This window comes from Homo sapiens, chromosome 15 (assembly GCF_000001405.40).
Source record: "Homo sapiens chromosome 15, GRCh38.p14 Primary Assembly".
In the NCBI taxonomy this organism is placed as follows: domain Eukaryota; kingdom Metazoa; phylum Chordata; class Mammalia; order Primates; family Hominidae; genus Homo; species Homo sapiens.
The window spans coordinates 90,634,212-90,649,960 of record NC_000015.10 but is presented as its reverse complement, the minus strand read 5'-3'; the positions used below and the strand labels follow the sequence as shown (position 1 = coordinate 90,649,960).

The 15,749-nt window shown below is 49.5% G+C and overlaps 1 protein-coding gene, 1 long non-coding RNA gene and 1 pseudogene across 3 annotated transcripts in view, besides 2 other annotated features; 1 reads left to right on the top strand and 2 right to left on the bottom strand.

Annotated features, from left to right (window-relative positions):
- The window catches only part of CRTC3-AS1 (CRTC3 antisense RNA 1), a 97,132-nt gene that overhangs the window by 67,180 nt on the left and 14,203 nt on the right, over positions 1–15,749 (top strand). Inside the window, exon 3 of the long non-coding RNA NR_120372.1 lies at positions 8,704–8,919. This is a non-coding gene — a long non-coding RNA (CRTC3 antisense RNA 1). The remainder of the gene's footprint in view (positions 1–8,703; positions 8,920–15,749) is intronic.
- Positions 3,174–3,357: a silencer, noted in NCBI's record as "fragment chr15:91189835-91190018 (GRCh37/hg19 assembly coordinates)". NCBI's record gives its function as "represses an EF-1alpha promoter that drives an FKBP-Casp9 reporter gene in an ReSE screen in K562 erythroleukemia cells {active_cell/tissue: K562}" and the evidence as "EXISTENCE:reporter gene assay evidence [ECO:0000049][PMID:32094911]".
- The window catches only part of CRTC3 (CREB regulated transcription coactivator 3), a 115,423-nt gene continuing 104,289 nt past the window's right edge, over positions 4,616–15,749 (bottom strand). Inside the window, exons 12-15 of one of the 2 annotated variants that reach the window (NM_022769.5) lie at positions 11,315–11,515; positions 11,146–11,226; positions 8,762–8,864; positions 4,616–8,029 (exon numbers count right to left, since the gene is read on the bottom strand). In NM_022769.5, coding sequence (NP_073606.3) covers positions 7,821–8,029; positions 8,762–8,864; positions 11,146–11,226; positions 11,315–11,515 — 594 coding nt within the window. In that variant the 3' untranslated portion in view covers positions 4,616–7,820. The remainder of the gene's footprint in view (positions 8,030–8,761; positions 8,865–11,145; positions 11,227–11,314; positions 11,516–15,749) is intronic. The other variant, NM_001042574.3, reaches the window with a different exon arrangement.
- Positions 8,038–9,237: an enhancer, noted in NCBI's record as "P300/CBP strongly-dependent group 1 enhancer chr15:91183956-91185155 (GRCh37/hg19 assembly coordinates)". NCBI's record gives its function as "activates an origin of replication core promoter dependent on BRD2, BRD4, P300/CBP, MED14 and CDK7 cofactors, with strong dependence on P300/CBP, by STARR-seq in HCT116 cells {active_cell/tissue: HCT116}" and the evidence as "EXISTENCE:reporter gene assay evidence [ECO:0000049][PMID:35650434]".
- Positions 14,742–15,290, bottom strand: HSPE1P3 (heat shock protein family E (Hsp10) member 1 pseudogene 3; annotated as a pseudogene).

Sequence of the window (15,749 nt, the reverse complement as noted above, 5' to 3'; positions counted from 1 at the left end):
TTGGTTAAAAAAACTCCTTTGAATATGTGCGTAGAGAGATGTCTCCATCCATGTTTCCTGGGTGTCAGCCATGATTATTTCTGGGGTGCTGGATTTCCGGACCACTTGAAATTTTTGTTTTTGGTACTCTTCGGTGTTACTTGAATTTCTTATAATGAGCATGCACTATTTTTATCAGAGCAAAGCTTTTTTAAAAAATTAAAATACATGTCTGGAAAAGAGAGAGAGAAAAAAAAAACACGTGTTCCTTTGCCAGGCTTCTATCTCACTGGGATCCGTGGGGACCCTTCCCAGAGGGGCTGCTCAGAGCCCACCTCTGCAGGGTGAAGGGTGCGATTCATTTCCGCACCCCTCACCCTGGTGATGGGCGTAGTCGGGGGCCGGGGGTGCACAGGGGAGGGAAACTTGTGAGCAGATCCTGAAGGATGCACTTTGGAGCCCTGGGTTCTGGGCTGGTGAGGTCAGGAGGCCTTGATGTGAGGCCCACTGGGTCCAGGCTTTGTGCCTTCACTGTTTAGTTGGGTGACAGAGCCTCTATGGGCCTGTTTCCTCTTCTGTAAACTCAAGAAGTCATCCTTGGCTAGGGGCAGTGGTTCACGCCTGTAATCCCGGCACTTTGGGAGGCCGAGGCAGGTGGATCACCCGAGGTCAAGAGTTTGAGACCAGCCTGGCCAACATGGTGAAACGCTATCTCTACGAAAAATACAAAAATCAGCCAGGTGTGCTGGCACATGCCTGTAATCCCAGCTACTCGGGAGGCTGAGGCAGGAGAATCACTTGAACGCGGGAGGCGGAGGTTGCAGTGAGCGAAGATCACACCACTGCACTCCAGCCTGGGCGACGGAACGAGACTCTGTCTCGGAAAAAAAAAAAAAAAAAAAAAAGAAGTCCTCCATGCCCTGCCTCGTTTTCAGGTTGATGTGAGGGATGTGTGTGGTGCTGTCACAGGGTTCAGCCTGGGAGGCCACATGGATTCCTGGCTTCATGCAGGAATTCAAAAGTAAGCTGACAAAGTGATAGCAAGTTTATTAAGAAAGTAAATGAATAAAAAAGGGGCTACCCCAGCAGCACGGGCTGCTCGACTCAGTAGACTTATGGTTATTTCTTGATCATACGGTAAATAAGGAGTGGATTATTTATGAGTTTTCCAGGAATGGGGTGGGAATTTCCTGGAACTGAGGGTTCCTCTTCCTTTTCGACCATATAGGGTAATTTCCGTACGTTGCCATGGCACTTGTGAACTGTCACGCGCTGCTGGGAGTGTCTTTTAGCAACTAATGTATTATAGTTAGTGAATAATGAACAGTGAGGACAACCAGAGGTCACTTTCGTCATCATCTTGGTTTTGGCGGGTTCTGGCAGTTTCTTTATTGCATCCTGTTTTATCAGTGTGATCTTTGTGATCTGTATCTTGTGCCTATCTCCTGTCTCCTCCTGTGACTTTGAATGCCTAACCTCCGGGGAATGCAGCCCAGCAGGTCTCAGCCTCATTTTACCCACAGCCCCTGTTCAAGATGGAGTCACTCTGGTTTGAATGCTTCTGACGGTGCAGTGTCTGGTAGTCTGGGTGGTCACTAAGGATACTTATTACTCCATATCATACAATTCAATTCTAGCCAACACCACTGCCAGCCCAGTTCAAGGGCTAAAGTTGAGGGGGTCCGGGGCTCTCTGTCCTGTTCTGGGTCCTAAGAGCCACTCTTATAGTTGCAGCTCCACCTAGTGTCCACATGAGGACATAGCAGCATATAGCTGGTTTATTGTAAACCCCAATTTCCATACCTGCCTACCATACAGCTTTATTAGGTAAAATGGACCAAAAAGATCTTTTTTTATTTTTATTTTTAATTTTTTTTGAGACAGAGTCTCGCTCTGTCACCCAGGTTGGAGTGCAGTGGTGTGATCTCTGCTCACTGCAACCTCTGCCTGCTGGGTTCAAGCAATTCTCCTGCCTCAGCCTCCCCAGTAGCTGGAATGACAGACGCCCACCCGGATAATTTTTGTATTTTTGGTAGAGATGGGGTTTCACCATGTTGTCTAGGCTGGTCTCGAACTCCTGACCTCAGGTGATCCTCCGGCTTCAGCCTCCCAAAGTGCTGGGATTACAGTCATGAGCCACTGTGCCTGGCCCAAAATAAGATCTAAAATCATTCCTTCCAGATCGAAAATTTAGTATTTCAAAACAAGTATACAAATTCAGTACTTTTCAAGATTAAAGTATCCTGTGTTTGAAAAGATGGCACAGGAGGAGGGGTGAGGAGAAGGAGGGGTGTGGAGGAGGAGGGGTGAGGAGGAGGAGGGGTGAGGAGGAGGGGTGTGGAGGATGAGGAGGGGTGTGAAGGGGGAGGGGGAGGGGTGTGAAGGGGGAGGGATGTGGAGCAGGAGGGTTGAGGAGGAGGGATGTGGAGAGGAGAAGGGGTGAGGAGGAGGGGGGTGAGGCGGAGGAGGGGTGTGGAGGATGAGGAGGGGTGTGGAGGAGGAGGGGTGAGGGAGGTGTGAGGCGGAGGAGGGGTGTGGAGGAGGAGGGGTGTGGTGGAGGAGAAGGGGTGAGGGGGAGGGGTGTGGAGGAGGATTGTGGAGGAGGAGGGGTGTGGAGGAGGATTGAGGAGGAGGGGTGTGGAGGAGGATTGTGGAGGAGGAGGGGTGTGGAGGAGGATTGTGGAGGAGGAGGGGTGTGGAGGAGGATTGAGGAGGAGGGGTGTGGAGGAGGATTGAGGAGGAGGGGTGTGGAGGAGGATTGTGGAGGAGGAGGGGTGTGGAGGAGGATTGTGGAGGAGCAGTGGGTGTAGAGGTGGAGGAGGGCTGTGGAATTTGGAGGGGTGTGGAGGAGAAGGAGGGCTTTGGAGGAGGGGTTGGAGGAGGAGGGGTGTGGAATAAGAGGAGGATTGTGGAGGAGGAGGGGTGAGGAGGAGGGTTGAGGAGGAGGAGGATTGTAGAGGGGGAGTGGGTGTGGAGGAGTTGGGGTGTGCAGGAGGAGGAGAGGTGAGGAAGAGGAGGTGTTTGGAGGACACCTGGTCTCCAGCTCCATGGCGGTGATGGGGGCTGAGCTCCAAGAGAAGGAAGCTGCTGTCAACAGTTCGGAAGAATTTGCGGATTTTTCGAGCCCCTACTGTGTGCCAGGTGCTGGGGAAGTGGCATACAAGTAAACATGCCCCTGTGCTTGCAGAGTTTGGAGCCCTGTGGGGAAGCTGGATGTCAATTGCAGGTGGACCCGGATCTCCAGAAAACAAGGGGTGGGGTGGGCATGAGCACTGGCTGATAGGCAGGTGGGGAGAGGGCTAAGTATGAGGGTCGTCTGCTTGGAGGGCTGGAGAAGTTGGTTTGGGAGGTCGATGGAAAGAAGATGATGGTGGAGGGGGAGGATGATAGGAGACAGGCATGGCCTGGGTGGTAGAATATGCAGAAAAGCCTTACTGGAGCCAGAGAGGATTTCGGAGGGGAGAGAGTGGCCAAAGGGTCAGGATGCGGCTGACATCAGAGGGCCTTGGACAGAGGCAGGAGAGTAGGGAATCCTGGAGGGCTCCCTGGGGCTGCGGGCAGAAGGAGGCTGAGCAGGAGTGCTCCTCCAGGAGAGGCAGGACACAGGGCTGTGGCATGAGGGGTAGCCGGCGGGGAAAGGAGAGTTTTCTGTTTGTTCTGAGGAAGGAGACTGGGCATCTTCACAGGCTGATGGGGAGGTGCCATCAGAGAGGGCTAAGTAGAAGGCCCTAGAACATCAGCAAGTCCTTGCGGAAGGTCAGGTTGACGTGGAAACAGGACCTCGTAAGGCATAGGGACGCTGGGGAAGGCGCGACGGGCCATGGGACGGAATGGGGAGCAGCTGGGACACGGCGGGAGCTGGCCCAGGTGGCCTGGATGGGAGGCAAGAAGGCCTCATGTGGTCTGATGAGCCTTGAGGAGAGGAGGGCGTGGGTGCCCCACGTGGCAGGAGAGGGCTGGGTCAGCACAGCCTGGAAGTGCTGGTTCTTCCCGCAGGGCTCCCAGCAACAGAAAGCTCAGCCCGAGTGACGTGGTGGCAGGTCTTGAGGAGGAAGAGTGGCGTGGTGGCAGGAGAAGGGGCCTGGGGGTGCCACGGAGGCCACGAGCCAGGTGGGCCCGGGCAGAAGCAAGGGAAGCTAGGAGAGGACGGGCAGGCTGAGAAGAGGGGACACGGAAGAATTCTCAGTGCGGTCAAAGAACAGGGTGTGTGTAGACCAGAGTGGAAATGGGGGCTCAGGAAGTTAAAGTCAGAAACAGGATTTCCAGGTAGGATTTCAGGAGACAGTCACCTTTATGACAAGTGCTAGATGTGGCTGTTCGCGTTGAACCCTGCTGGGATGGGGGTCTGGGGAAGGGACAGGGCTAGAGGCCAACCCAGGACAGAGTATCTGGTGGAGGAAGGGCCGTGGGCAGGGGTGTGGAGCGGGTGCTGGCTGTGGGGGCAGGAGACCCAGCTGCCTCCAGCTAAGGGAACTGAGTGCCCCTTCACGTATCACAAGAAGGCCTGACCCACAGCTGGTACAGGGCCTGCCTTGCCAAGGCTCCAAATCCTAGCTGCAGGCTGAGCCGTGCAGGAGGCGGTGAGATTAAGGCTCCCCACCAACCCCTCACCCAAGTGAAGAAAAACACCACCAAATGCAGAGACAACCTCATTGTGATGCTTTTAATTACAAAAGATGTAAAATGATGCATTATAAAACTTGGAAGCAACTTTATACAAATTCCAATTTTTAAATATGGTTGAACAGGGTGCCCTGGGGGTTAGGACACTGGCAGGAAGTCTGATTAGTTGCTGGGATGGTCCCATCCATGAAGCACTGGACACATGCTGGGAACCATCTGTGCATAAATCAGAAGAGCCAACAAGAGTGGGAACAGGAAAGGTCTGCAAATACGCATATGGACTTGAAGATACAACACCAGCTCAGGTAATATACAGCAGGCGGAGGAGAAATGAAACAGGAGAAACAGGACAAAGGAGAATTCATGACATGATCAAGAAACCCCTTCTCCTAACCCCCTATGTCCTAAAACCCACAACCATACAGAAAGAAAAAATGGAAATGCAGACAGGTTTTTAGTTCTATGCTGTTTAACTGCTGTAAGTGAGAGTAGTACAATGGTCGATTTCTTGTGACAAAACTAAATAATGAAAAATAGTTTACTCTGAAGTATGCAGCTGCTTCAAATGCTGAGGACCACAACTGGTTTTGTTACAAAGGCCGCAGTGAGTGCAGGCTCACGTGCTGTGGGCCAGGGCGACCCTGCCCGTGGTGAGTCCTCCACACCTTCTAGGCAGAGTGGGTTGTACGATGCCCAAAACCTTTCACAAGAAAAGATCGGACTCACTCATAGACCTAAGGACAAATTGAATTCAGTGCTAAACCATATTGCCCCCAGTGTACACCCCCAATAAATCACTTCCCCGGAGGTCTGTTTTCACAAGTCACCTGGAGAACGCCTTTGGGGCAGTAGGGTTCACTGTGTAGGTCTTGGGGTCTCTGTTGCCAGGCAGGGTGGCTGCTGTGCAGACAAACTGAACTGGGACCCGGATATGACGATACCCATGGGTAAGGCACTATGTGAAGAGTGACTATGCTGAGACCTCTGTTTTATAAAAACACAATTCTTGAAACATCAGCACCATCGCCTGTTGAGAGTGAGATCAGGTTTGGAAGCCCTTTGACACAGGAGCTGGTTTCTTTTGGCACATGGGGTGCTGGGTAGCATTGCGACTGAAGGCTCTTTAACAAAAAGCCACCCCCTCTGAGATCTTGAGCACAAAGGGATCTGAAAGTGTAACTGGGAACAGGGCAGGCCAGCAGGCCCTTCCTGAGCTGGAAATCAGGCGAGGAGGACTCTGGTTTGATTTCCCAATTCCACAGCAAAGATTTGGGGCAAATGTGAAACAGGAATACTTGGATTCCAGAGGAAGGTGGAGGGGCACCCCATGAGGGTTATTTTAAAGATGAGAGGCAAGGTCAGAAGATAGAAATGGAATGAGGTCGGGAGAGGCTAACCAGCCCAGGGTCTTGTGACCACGACTCCTTTTACATAAGGGACAGGTGTGCCAGATTCAGACCCTCATTGTACAGCCTTGCTCCTCTGGGTGGAACAGTCCAGCAACCCTCAGTACACTCCAGGGTCTCCTGGAAGGGCAATGGCTGTCCAAGCAAAGGTCCTGGCATCTTCCGTCTCTCCTTCAGGGTTCTCCTCCTCTCCACCCTGTCCTCTCACAGCCTAGACCCCCCCCTCCCCCTGCAGTGCTCTGCCCCCTTCAAACCTACTGGCATCACCCAAGTTAGAGGAGGCAGGCGGTGGTGGAAATCTGGCCCATCTATTTTATGAGAAGGTATTGATGACTAATGATGCTTCCATGAATTAGGCCTTCGTTTTACTATAAACTATTTTTTCAACCTCAAAGAATGAATCTCTACTTGAAGCAATTTAGAGCCAAACGTGGATCTGAGAAGGAAGATCTTCCTGGGTGGGGCCCAGCCAGGATGCTCAGGGCACTCACCTGCTCAGCCCTTCCGGATGTACTCAGAAGACAGCTCCCACCCACCCGCGTGGAGCACAGCCCAAGGAGAATGCAGTGCCCGGCTTCACTGTGATTTGGTCACCTAGTGTTAAAAGCATATTAAAGTGCATGCTTCACCATAGGCACGAGTGCTAGAAAAGCTAAAGCTCTGAGAAGATCTGGCAGGGAAGGGGATAGCTACAGGTGAGCCTGCCTTACGGCATGGCGGACGCACTCATTCATCATGCGCTGCACGCACGGTTCTGCAGCACTCACTCCAGCACACGACTGTGCTGCCACGCACGTGTTAGGTGCTACGGGTTCAACAATGATAAGGCACTGTCCCTGCCCTCAAGGAGCTTACGGTCTAGGGGGGTGACATTAGACTCCCAGCCCACAGAGACACAGCTCTGGGGAGGGATGGGGAAGCTCAGTTGCTCGGTGGGTGGGGTTAGGGCCTCACCAGCTCCCTCTGGCTGCTCTTAGTGGGGAGGTCTGTGCTTGTCTGGAGTTTGTCTGGAGGCCACTGAGTATGAGACACCTGCAGTCCCTGTCTTCCTTCCCCAGCCCCCGAGGAGGAGCACAGTTCTCTTCAGGCTCATCAGTGCCAGGGGACTCTTTTCAGTGACTGATAAAATGGTCTTCCTCTTCCTCTGGTCCATAAGGAAAAGGTGTACTTTTCTGAAGCAGCAGAAACCAGCTGGGAGAAAATGAAAATTAGCCTTCAGTCTGCCTAACTCAAGCCTGCCCTCGGGCTTGTGGTAAAAACTTCATGTCGTAATCCAGGCGTGGGAGAGAGCCGTGGGGTCCACTCAGCCTGGGAATGTCCCCCGCTGGAGGGCCTCGCCCTCTGGGTCAGGTCAGAGCAGGCATCGAGGTGCCCTCTCCGGTGCCGCCGCCCCAGGCCGAGCCTCCCACTCCGGGCCCGCCTTCGGTGCGGACGGAGATCAGTGGTTCTGAGCACACTACACAATGCTACGGAGGCCTCCAGTGACACAGTATTTCCTACTCTTACACATCGGCTGACTGGATGGCCAGTAAAAAGATGCAGTGGAGGTGAGCTTTCCAGTTCATGGGAAGCTCCAAGCAGCCTGCCTGCTGCAACACGACTTTGGCCACAGGCGGGAGAGGCAGTACAAAGCTGTGTGATCTGGAGGAAGCCACAGTGTCTGAGATGGGATCTCATCTGAAACCCTGGAGCCGTGGCATTGCTTCCTTCTATGTCAAGATAACGAAAGCCCGTGGTATCAGCTGGCTTCATTCTATTCCATTCTATTTTGGCTGTTGCAGAAAAACATTCTTCTGTTCCACTGCCTTCTGTTCACAGTCTGTCAGCTCGAAACGTCTCTTCAACAGAGGGGTCCAGCAGGCCCATGCTGGAGTCACTTAACATGTTGAGTCCGTCCAGGCTCAGGGGTTCAATCTGCAGCTCCTCTTCCAGTGGAAATGGAGTGTCCACGTTCAGGCTGACCTCAGGCAGGCCTGCCAGCGCACTGTTGAGGTCTTTGAACAGGCTGGTGCTGGAGTCTTCTGAAAGGAGTGGCCAGAGGGGAAAACAGTGCGGTTAGGAGGCGCGAAGGCTCCAGGCTACTAAGCAAACCCAGCTGATGACAGTCCCCTAAACTGCTATCCCACACATCCTGACCACCCCCAGGCCCACAGTTCTTGCCCTGGAATCTACATTCTTGTCAGTCAGTTGCACAACTCCCAATTTTTGCAGGTTTTTTCCTTTTGAACAGTCATCAGTCACCTAAGATGAAATCTTTTTTTTTTTTTGGAGACTGTTGCCCAGGCTGGAGTACAGTGGCACAATCTCGGCTCACTGCAAGCTCCACCTCCTGGGTTGGTGCCATTCTGCCTCAGCCTCCCGAGTAGCTGAGACCACAGGCGCCCGCCGCCATGCCCAGCTAATTTTTTTTGTATTTTTTAGTAGAGACGGGGTTTCGCTGTGTTAGCCAGAATGGTCTCGATCTCCTGACCTGATGATCCGCCCACCTCGGCCTCCCAAAGTGCTGGGATTACAGGCGTGAGCCACCGCACTGGGCCAGATGAAATCTTTCAGAAAAGGCTTTGACTACCAGGCCCACCGCCCTGTGTCACGGTCTCTGAGGCTGGACACCTGCATCTCAAAAAGTCAAGTCGACCCAGGGAACGTTAACTTTTTGCTTTATATAATATTATGTTGTTTAAACTCTCTTATGAAGGTTCCTGAACACACAACAACATAAAAGCAGTAAAGAAGCTGAGGGATAGCTCGCTCACCTGGCAGGATGGTGTTCGGGAGACTCCCGCAGTTGGAATACGGGCTTGGTCTCAAATGAAAAGAGTCCTGCAGTTCTCGGGAACCTTGTTGCACCAGAGGCACCTGGAAGCATCGAAGGTCATGTGAGGAAGGCCACACCTCTGTTTCCAAGGAGGAAGTGAGTATTGCAATGTGCTCCCAGAGCAAAACCTGACTTGCAAACTAATCCATATTCCCTTCTTTCCAGGATCCCAGAGTGCTTTGCTCTTATGGTAATGCATGCACAATATTCTTGTCAGGCAGGCAGACGCTGGGGTGGAGGAGGGGTCCCTGAGGTCCACAGCGTGGTGACTTTTCCCCAGCCCACTACACCATCCCAAGAGACACCAATGCTCATGGTTTCTGTGGCCCCTCAGACATCTGTCCTCAGCCTCACCAAGGCCTTTGCAAACTGCCTTCTGTGGGAACCCTTCAAAGGCTCTGTCTATAACCAAGGAAGTATGGACTCTTCTTCCTTGGTTTCTTTCTTCTTTTTTTTTTTAAAGATAGGGTCTCTGTTGCCCAGGCTGGAGTGCAATGGCGCCATCTCGGCTCACTGAAACCTCCAGCTCCCAGGCTCAAGCAATCCGTCCACCTTAGCCTCCCAAATAGCTGGGACCACATGCCACCATGCCTGGCTAATTTTTGTATTTTTTTTAGAGACAGGGTCTTGCTGTATTTTACCCAGGCTGGTCTCAAACTCCTGAGTTCAAGTAAGCCACTGGCCTTGGCCTCCCAAAGTGCTGGGATTATGGGTGTGAGCCACTGCACCTGGCCTCTTCCCTGGTTTCTAGAAAACTGAGAAAGGGGAAGGCTTTCCTTTTCACACTCAGAAGGAGGAAACTCAGGCAAGCTCCTCCCTATGAGAAAGCCTCTATGAGGACTGGTTATAACCAGTGCCAATTTTAGGTTCCTTTCCTGAAATTAATTTTCTAAGCCATTTTAAAAAAAGTCTCAAAAGAAGTGTCTATCATTTTTCAGGGAGACGGTGATTCCCACCTAGACTAAAATGGCTCTTTGGGAAACAGGGAGGCAAGGAGGATTGGTTCTTGCCACAAAGCTTCATCTGTGGCCTGCTTAGGAAACAGCTATCTTAATTTATTTTATTATTATTATTTTATTTACTTATTTTGAGACAGAGTCTTGCTTTGTTGTCCAGACTGAAGTGCAGTGGTGCGATCTCAGCTCACTGCAAGCTCCGCCTCCCGGCTTCACGCCATTCTCCTGCCTCAGCCTCCCGAGTAGCTGGGACTACAGGTGCCTGCCACCACGCCCAGCTAATTTTTTTGTATTTTTTAGTAGAGACAAGGTTTCACCGTGTTAGCCAGGATGGTCTCGATCTCCTGACCTCATGATCCGCCCGCCTCGGCCTCCCAAACTGCTGGGATTACAGGCGTGAGCCACTATGCCCAGCTATTTTATTAAGTTCTTGGCTGGGCACAGTGGCTCGCACCTGTAATCCCAGCACTTTGGGAGGCCAAGGCGGGTGGATCACTTGAGGTCCGGAGTTCAAGATTAGCCTGGTCAACAAAGTGAAACCCCATCTCTACTAAAAATATAAAATTTAGCCAGGTGTAGGGGTACATGCCTGTAACCCCAATTACTCAGGAGTCTGAGACATGAGAATCACTTGAACCCAGGAGGTGGAGGTTGCAGTAAGCCGAGATCACGCCACTGCACTCCAGCCTAGGCGACAGATTAAGATTCTGTCTCAAAAAAAAAAAAAAAAAAAAGTTCTGGAACCTGTTCAACCCTTCTTCCACTCCTTAATCCATCGGAGGGCCCAGTCCATACTTATTGAATACTATTGAATACTATAAAATCTAGAATATTAAAAATAGTCAATGTTAGGAAAAAACTAAACTGTAAAAGAAAGTGGCCGAGTTGAAAATACCTTACGGAACGCACTCCCCTCACTCCCCAGGACTGAGCTCTCCCCAGGAGGCCCCACGCTGTGCTGGGTGCACCAGCCTGGGTGCAGGCCAAATGCGGCGCCACCTTCTGACTCTGCGGTGGGAGCAGGCGCCACTCTCCCTATGCCTCAGTTTCAACATGAGGGCGCTGAGGAGGCAGGTGCTGTGTCCCTTCCAGTGTTCATGATTTTACAGTTCTACAACGAGAGTGTCATCAAAAGTCTCCTGCCGATTGTTCCAATAGTTCCTCTGCTGAAGCCTGATACTAAATAAGGCAGCCAGAGAAAGCATTTTAGGGCCAAAGAAGATGAAAGGCTCTTCTAGCCACAGAACACAACCAGAACCAGGAAAGTGGCATGTCTGGTCTGCTCAGTTCTGAATTCTACAGAATGAACAACCTAAATGGTACAGTTTATGCACCAAGGGAGGAGAAGGCAGGGGCGATCACCCACCTGTTGAGGAAAGGCAGGGCCTGGCCTCATGGACTGCTGGTCAAAACCCACATCTGGGAAGAAGTTGGTCAAAGATGAGCCCTTCAGGGAATAAGGAGATGATCATTTAGCTTGGAACTCAGAGCAAAACAAGCATTCCCTCTGCACCAACGCTCCTGCCAGAACTCACCTGGGCCGGGAGAAGCTGAAAGTCTGACTGTGGCAGTGAGGAGGCTGCCTGGGGCTGCTGGGCAGGGGCCTCAGGGGCGCGGGGCTGCTGCAGGAGGGGCTGGGTGAGCTCCTGGGGTGCAGGGTAAGGGGGTGGCGGCGACACCTGGGCTTGAGCTTCTGTGGGCAGAAAGGAAAGTTGGCTTCGGTCTGAGGACACCATCTGCAAAACAAACACACAAAGCCACTAATGAGCTTCTGCGTTTCTGGCGTTAAGTCCTTTAGGATTAGGAAATGTCAGAGTGAGAGGAAGCCTGAGATTTTCCTCACCGCGGTGTTCTGTGCAATGCTGTGAGAAGCCCGTTTCTCATCCTTCAAAGTATATCTCAAATTTTACTTCCCCACAAAGCATGTTCCATTCAATGACAAGTTCTATTGTCTTAAAAGAACTAAACAAGAAAACAGCCAATTTAACCAATTTCCTTTCAGTTTTCTCCGTGAAAATCATGTTTTGTTTTGTTTTATAGCCGTGTCTTCTGGTTAAAAGTGGAAAATTGAAAAAGGCCCTTAGCTCTGTCATCCCCAAATCCTGTTAAAACAAGACACTACAACATTAACAAGCAATAAGCATTAATAAAAAACACTAAACAACAGCACAGAACACTAAATGATAACAAACAACACGAGGACAAAGATAACGGGAGAGAAGAAAATGGCAACAAAAGCTGGAAAATGAGCAGCAGATGGCCCGGTGGCAGCTGGCTTAGCAGAGCTGAGAAAACCCGATGCTAGGCTGGCAGTGAGGAAAAACCAGGAGGCAATCTCACTGACAGCACTCAGTCCCCACAGGGCTCTGGGACTGGGGACAGCAGGGAGCAGGCGGTGAAGCTAAAACCAGGAGATTCTGGTCACAGTTTGTGTAAGGGGCAGTTGGACCTGCAGAGCCCTTGCCTTGAGTGTGCTTCTGCGCACTGGCCCCCACCATCCTGCCACCTGCCAGGAGACTGGAAGGTTCTACTTTCGAGATAATAAAACTAAGGGTCTCTGGATATTAGAAGGTGAGGCACTTTACTGAAAACACAGGGTTTAGAAGAAATTTCTTTTTCTTTAATATTTTATTTTTTTAAGTTCTAGGGTACATGTGCACAACATGCAGGTTTGTTACATATGTATACACGTGCCATGTTGGTGTGCTACACCCATTAACTCGTCATTTACGTTAGGTATATCTCCCAATGCTATCCCTCCCCCTTCCCCGCATCCCACAACAGGCCCCGGTGTGTGATGTTCCCCTTCCTGTGTCCATGTGTTCTCATTGTTCAATTCCCACCTATGAGTGAGAATATGTGGTGTTTGGTTTTTTGTCCTTGCGACAGTTTGCTGAGAATGATGGTTTCCAGCTTCATCCATGTCCCTACAAAGGACATGAACTCATCATTTTTTATGGCTGCATAGTATTCCATGGTGTATATGTGCCACATTTTCTTAATCCAGTCTATCGTTGTTGGACATCTGGCTTGGTTCCAAGTCTTTGCTATTGTGAATAGTGCTGCAATAAACATATGTGTGCATGTGTTTTTATAGCAGCATGATTTATAATCCTTTGGGTATATACCCAGTAATGGGATGGCTGGGTCAAATGGTATTTCTAGTTCAAGATCCCTAAGGAATCGCCACACTGACTTCCACAATGGTTGAACTAGTTTACAGTCCCACCAACAGTGTAAAAGTGTTCCTATTTCTCCACATCCTCTCCAGCACCTGTTGTTTCCTGACTTTTTAATGATTGCCATTCTAACTGGTGTGAGATGGTACCTCATTGTGGTTTTGATTTGCATTTCTCTGATGGCCAGTGATGATGAGCATTTTTTCATGTGTCTTTTAGCTGCATAAATGTCTTCTTTTGAAGAGTGTCTGTTCATATCCTTCGCCCACTTTTTGATGGGGTTGTTTGTTTTTTTCTTGTAAATTTGAGTTCTTTGTAGATTCTGGATATTAGCCCTTTGTCAGATGAGTAGATTGCAAAAATTTTCTCCCATTCTGTAGTTTGCCTGTTCACTCTGATGGTAGTTTCTTTTGCTGTGCAGAAGCTCTTTAGTTTAATTAGATCCCATTTGTTAATTTTGGCTTTTGTTGCCATTGCTTTTGGTGTTTTAGACATGAAGTCCTTGCCCATGCCTATGTCCTGAATGGTATTGCCTAGGTTTTCTTCTAGGGTTTTTATGGTTTTAGGTCTAACATTTAAGTCTTTAATCCATCTTGAATTAATTTTTGTATAAGGTGTAAGGAAGGGATCCAGTTTCAGCTTTCTACGTATGGCTAGCCAGTTTTCCCAGCACCATTTATTAAATAGGGAATCCTTTCCCCATTTCTTGTTTTTGTCAGGTTTGTCAAAGATCAGATGGTTGTAGATATGTGGCATTATATCTGAGGGCTCTGTTCTGTTCCATTGGTCTATATCTCTGTTTTGGTACCAGTACCATGCTGTTTTGGTTACTGTAGCCTTGTAGTATAGTTTGAAGTCAGGTAGCATGATGCCTCCAGCTTTGTTCTTTTGGCTTAGGATTGACTTGGCAATGTGGGCTCTTTTTCGGTTCCATATGAACTTTAAAGTAGTTTTTTCCAATTCTGTGAAGAAAGTCATTGGTAGCTTGATGGGGATGGCATTGAATCTATAAATTACCTTGGGCAGTATGGCCATTTTCACAATATTGATTCTTCCTACCCATGAGCATGGAATGTTCTTCCATTTGTTTGTATCCTCTTTTATTTCATTGAGCAGTGGTTTGTAGTTCTCCTTGAAGAGGTCCTTCACATCCCTTATAAGTTGGATTCCTAGGTATTTTATTCTTTAGAAGAAATTTCACGATCGAATCTTAAGATCTCCACCTTTCTTTCCCAACCCGGCTCACAGGATGCCGGAATCCTGATATGCCGAGGTGCGACATTGGAAGAGTGTCCTTTAGGGAACCTGACAAGGCCTGAAGAGAGAAAATCTTTTTTTCTGGAGACAGAGTTTTTCTGGAGACAGAGTCTTGCTCTGTCACCCAAGCTGGAGTGCAGTGGCATGACCTTGGCTCACTGCAACCTCCACCTCCTGGGTTCAAGCAATTCTCCTGCCTCAGTCTCCCGAGTAGCTGAGATTACAGGAGCATGCTAACACGCCTGGCTAATTTTTGTATTTTTAGTAGAGACGGGGTTTCACCATGTTGGCCAGGCTGGTCTCGAACTCCTGACCTCAGGTGATCCACCCGCCTCGGCCTCCCAAAGTGCTGAGATTACAGGTGTGAGCCACCACGCCTGGCCAGAGAAGAATGTAAAACTTATGACACCAGGAGTTTCCCAAGGAAATGACCAAGCTAGATCATTCTACAATGAAGACCACACTCAGCAGGCCTGCCCACATACACAGAGCTGCCAGCCAGCTTCTCAGTGTCCTTTTTTTTTTCTCATTTACATATTTTTATTTGGAAATGTTTATATCAGTACAAGGAAACAATTTTGGAGACACTGGATGTCATTAGTTATCATTAGTTTATTATAAGAAATATGGAAATTATTTACATGATGAAAGATTTCAGAACTTCAGTGGAATGGGCAGCTTCACACTGATGCCATTTCAGTAGTGACTTATTTCAGTCTATGTACTTTCCAAGAATGTCACCATCTCTAAATAGGAAATAATCCTTGTCATCTAGAACTACTTTGGTGCCTCCATATTCTGGGAGAAGAACTTTATCTCCAACTTTCACGCTAACTGGTTGAATCTCTCCAGCCTTACCTTTAGAACCCGATCCAACAGTGACTACTGTTGCTTGCAATACTTTTCCTTGAGATTTTTCTGGAAGCAAAATGCCTCCTTTGGTTACAGTTTTAGCAGCGCTCCTTCCAACCAATACTCAGTCAGAGAGTGGAAAAAACTTTCTACACGCTTGTCCTGCCATGACTCCCTTCGCCTCAGTCTCATACTCCGCTCTAGTGTAGAGCCGCAAGGAGACAGCCCCTCAGTGTCCTGTTCTTAAACATGAGCAGAGCACTGAGGATCACCAGGCCCTGAGGAAACCATCTGCCGTGAAAGTCAGAGGCCAGAGCAGACACACACAATCTTGGAAAGATGTGTGCAGGAAGAAGTAGTTGTGAAAAACCAAAATCAGCATGACAATATTTAGGCTACTAAGAAAATCCTTATCTATTAGAGATACATATTAAAATATCTGCAATTTTTAAAAGCAGGGTATGGATGAAACAAGATAACAAGGCTGGCGTGCTGGCTCACGCCTGTAATCTCAGACTTTGGGAGGCTGAGGTGGGTGGATCACCTGAGGTCAGGAGTTTGAAACCAGCCTGGCCAACATGGTGAAATCCCGTCTCTACTAAAAATTACAAAAATTAGCCAGGTGTGGTGGTGTGCACCTGTAGTCCCAGCTATTCGGGAGGCTGAGGCCAGGAGAATGGTT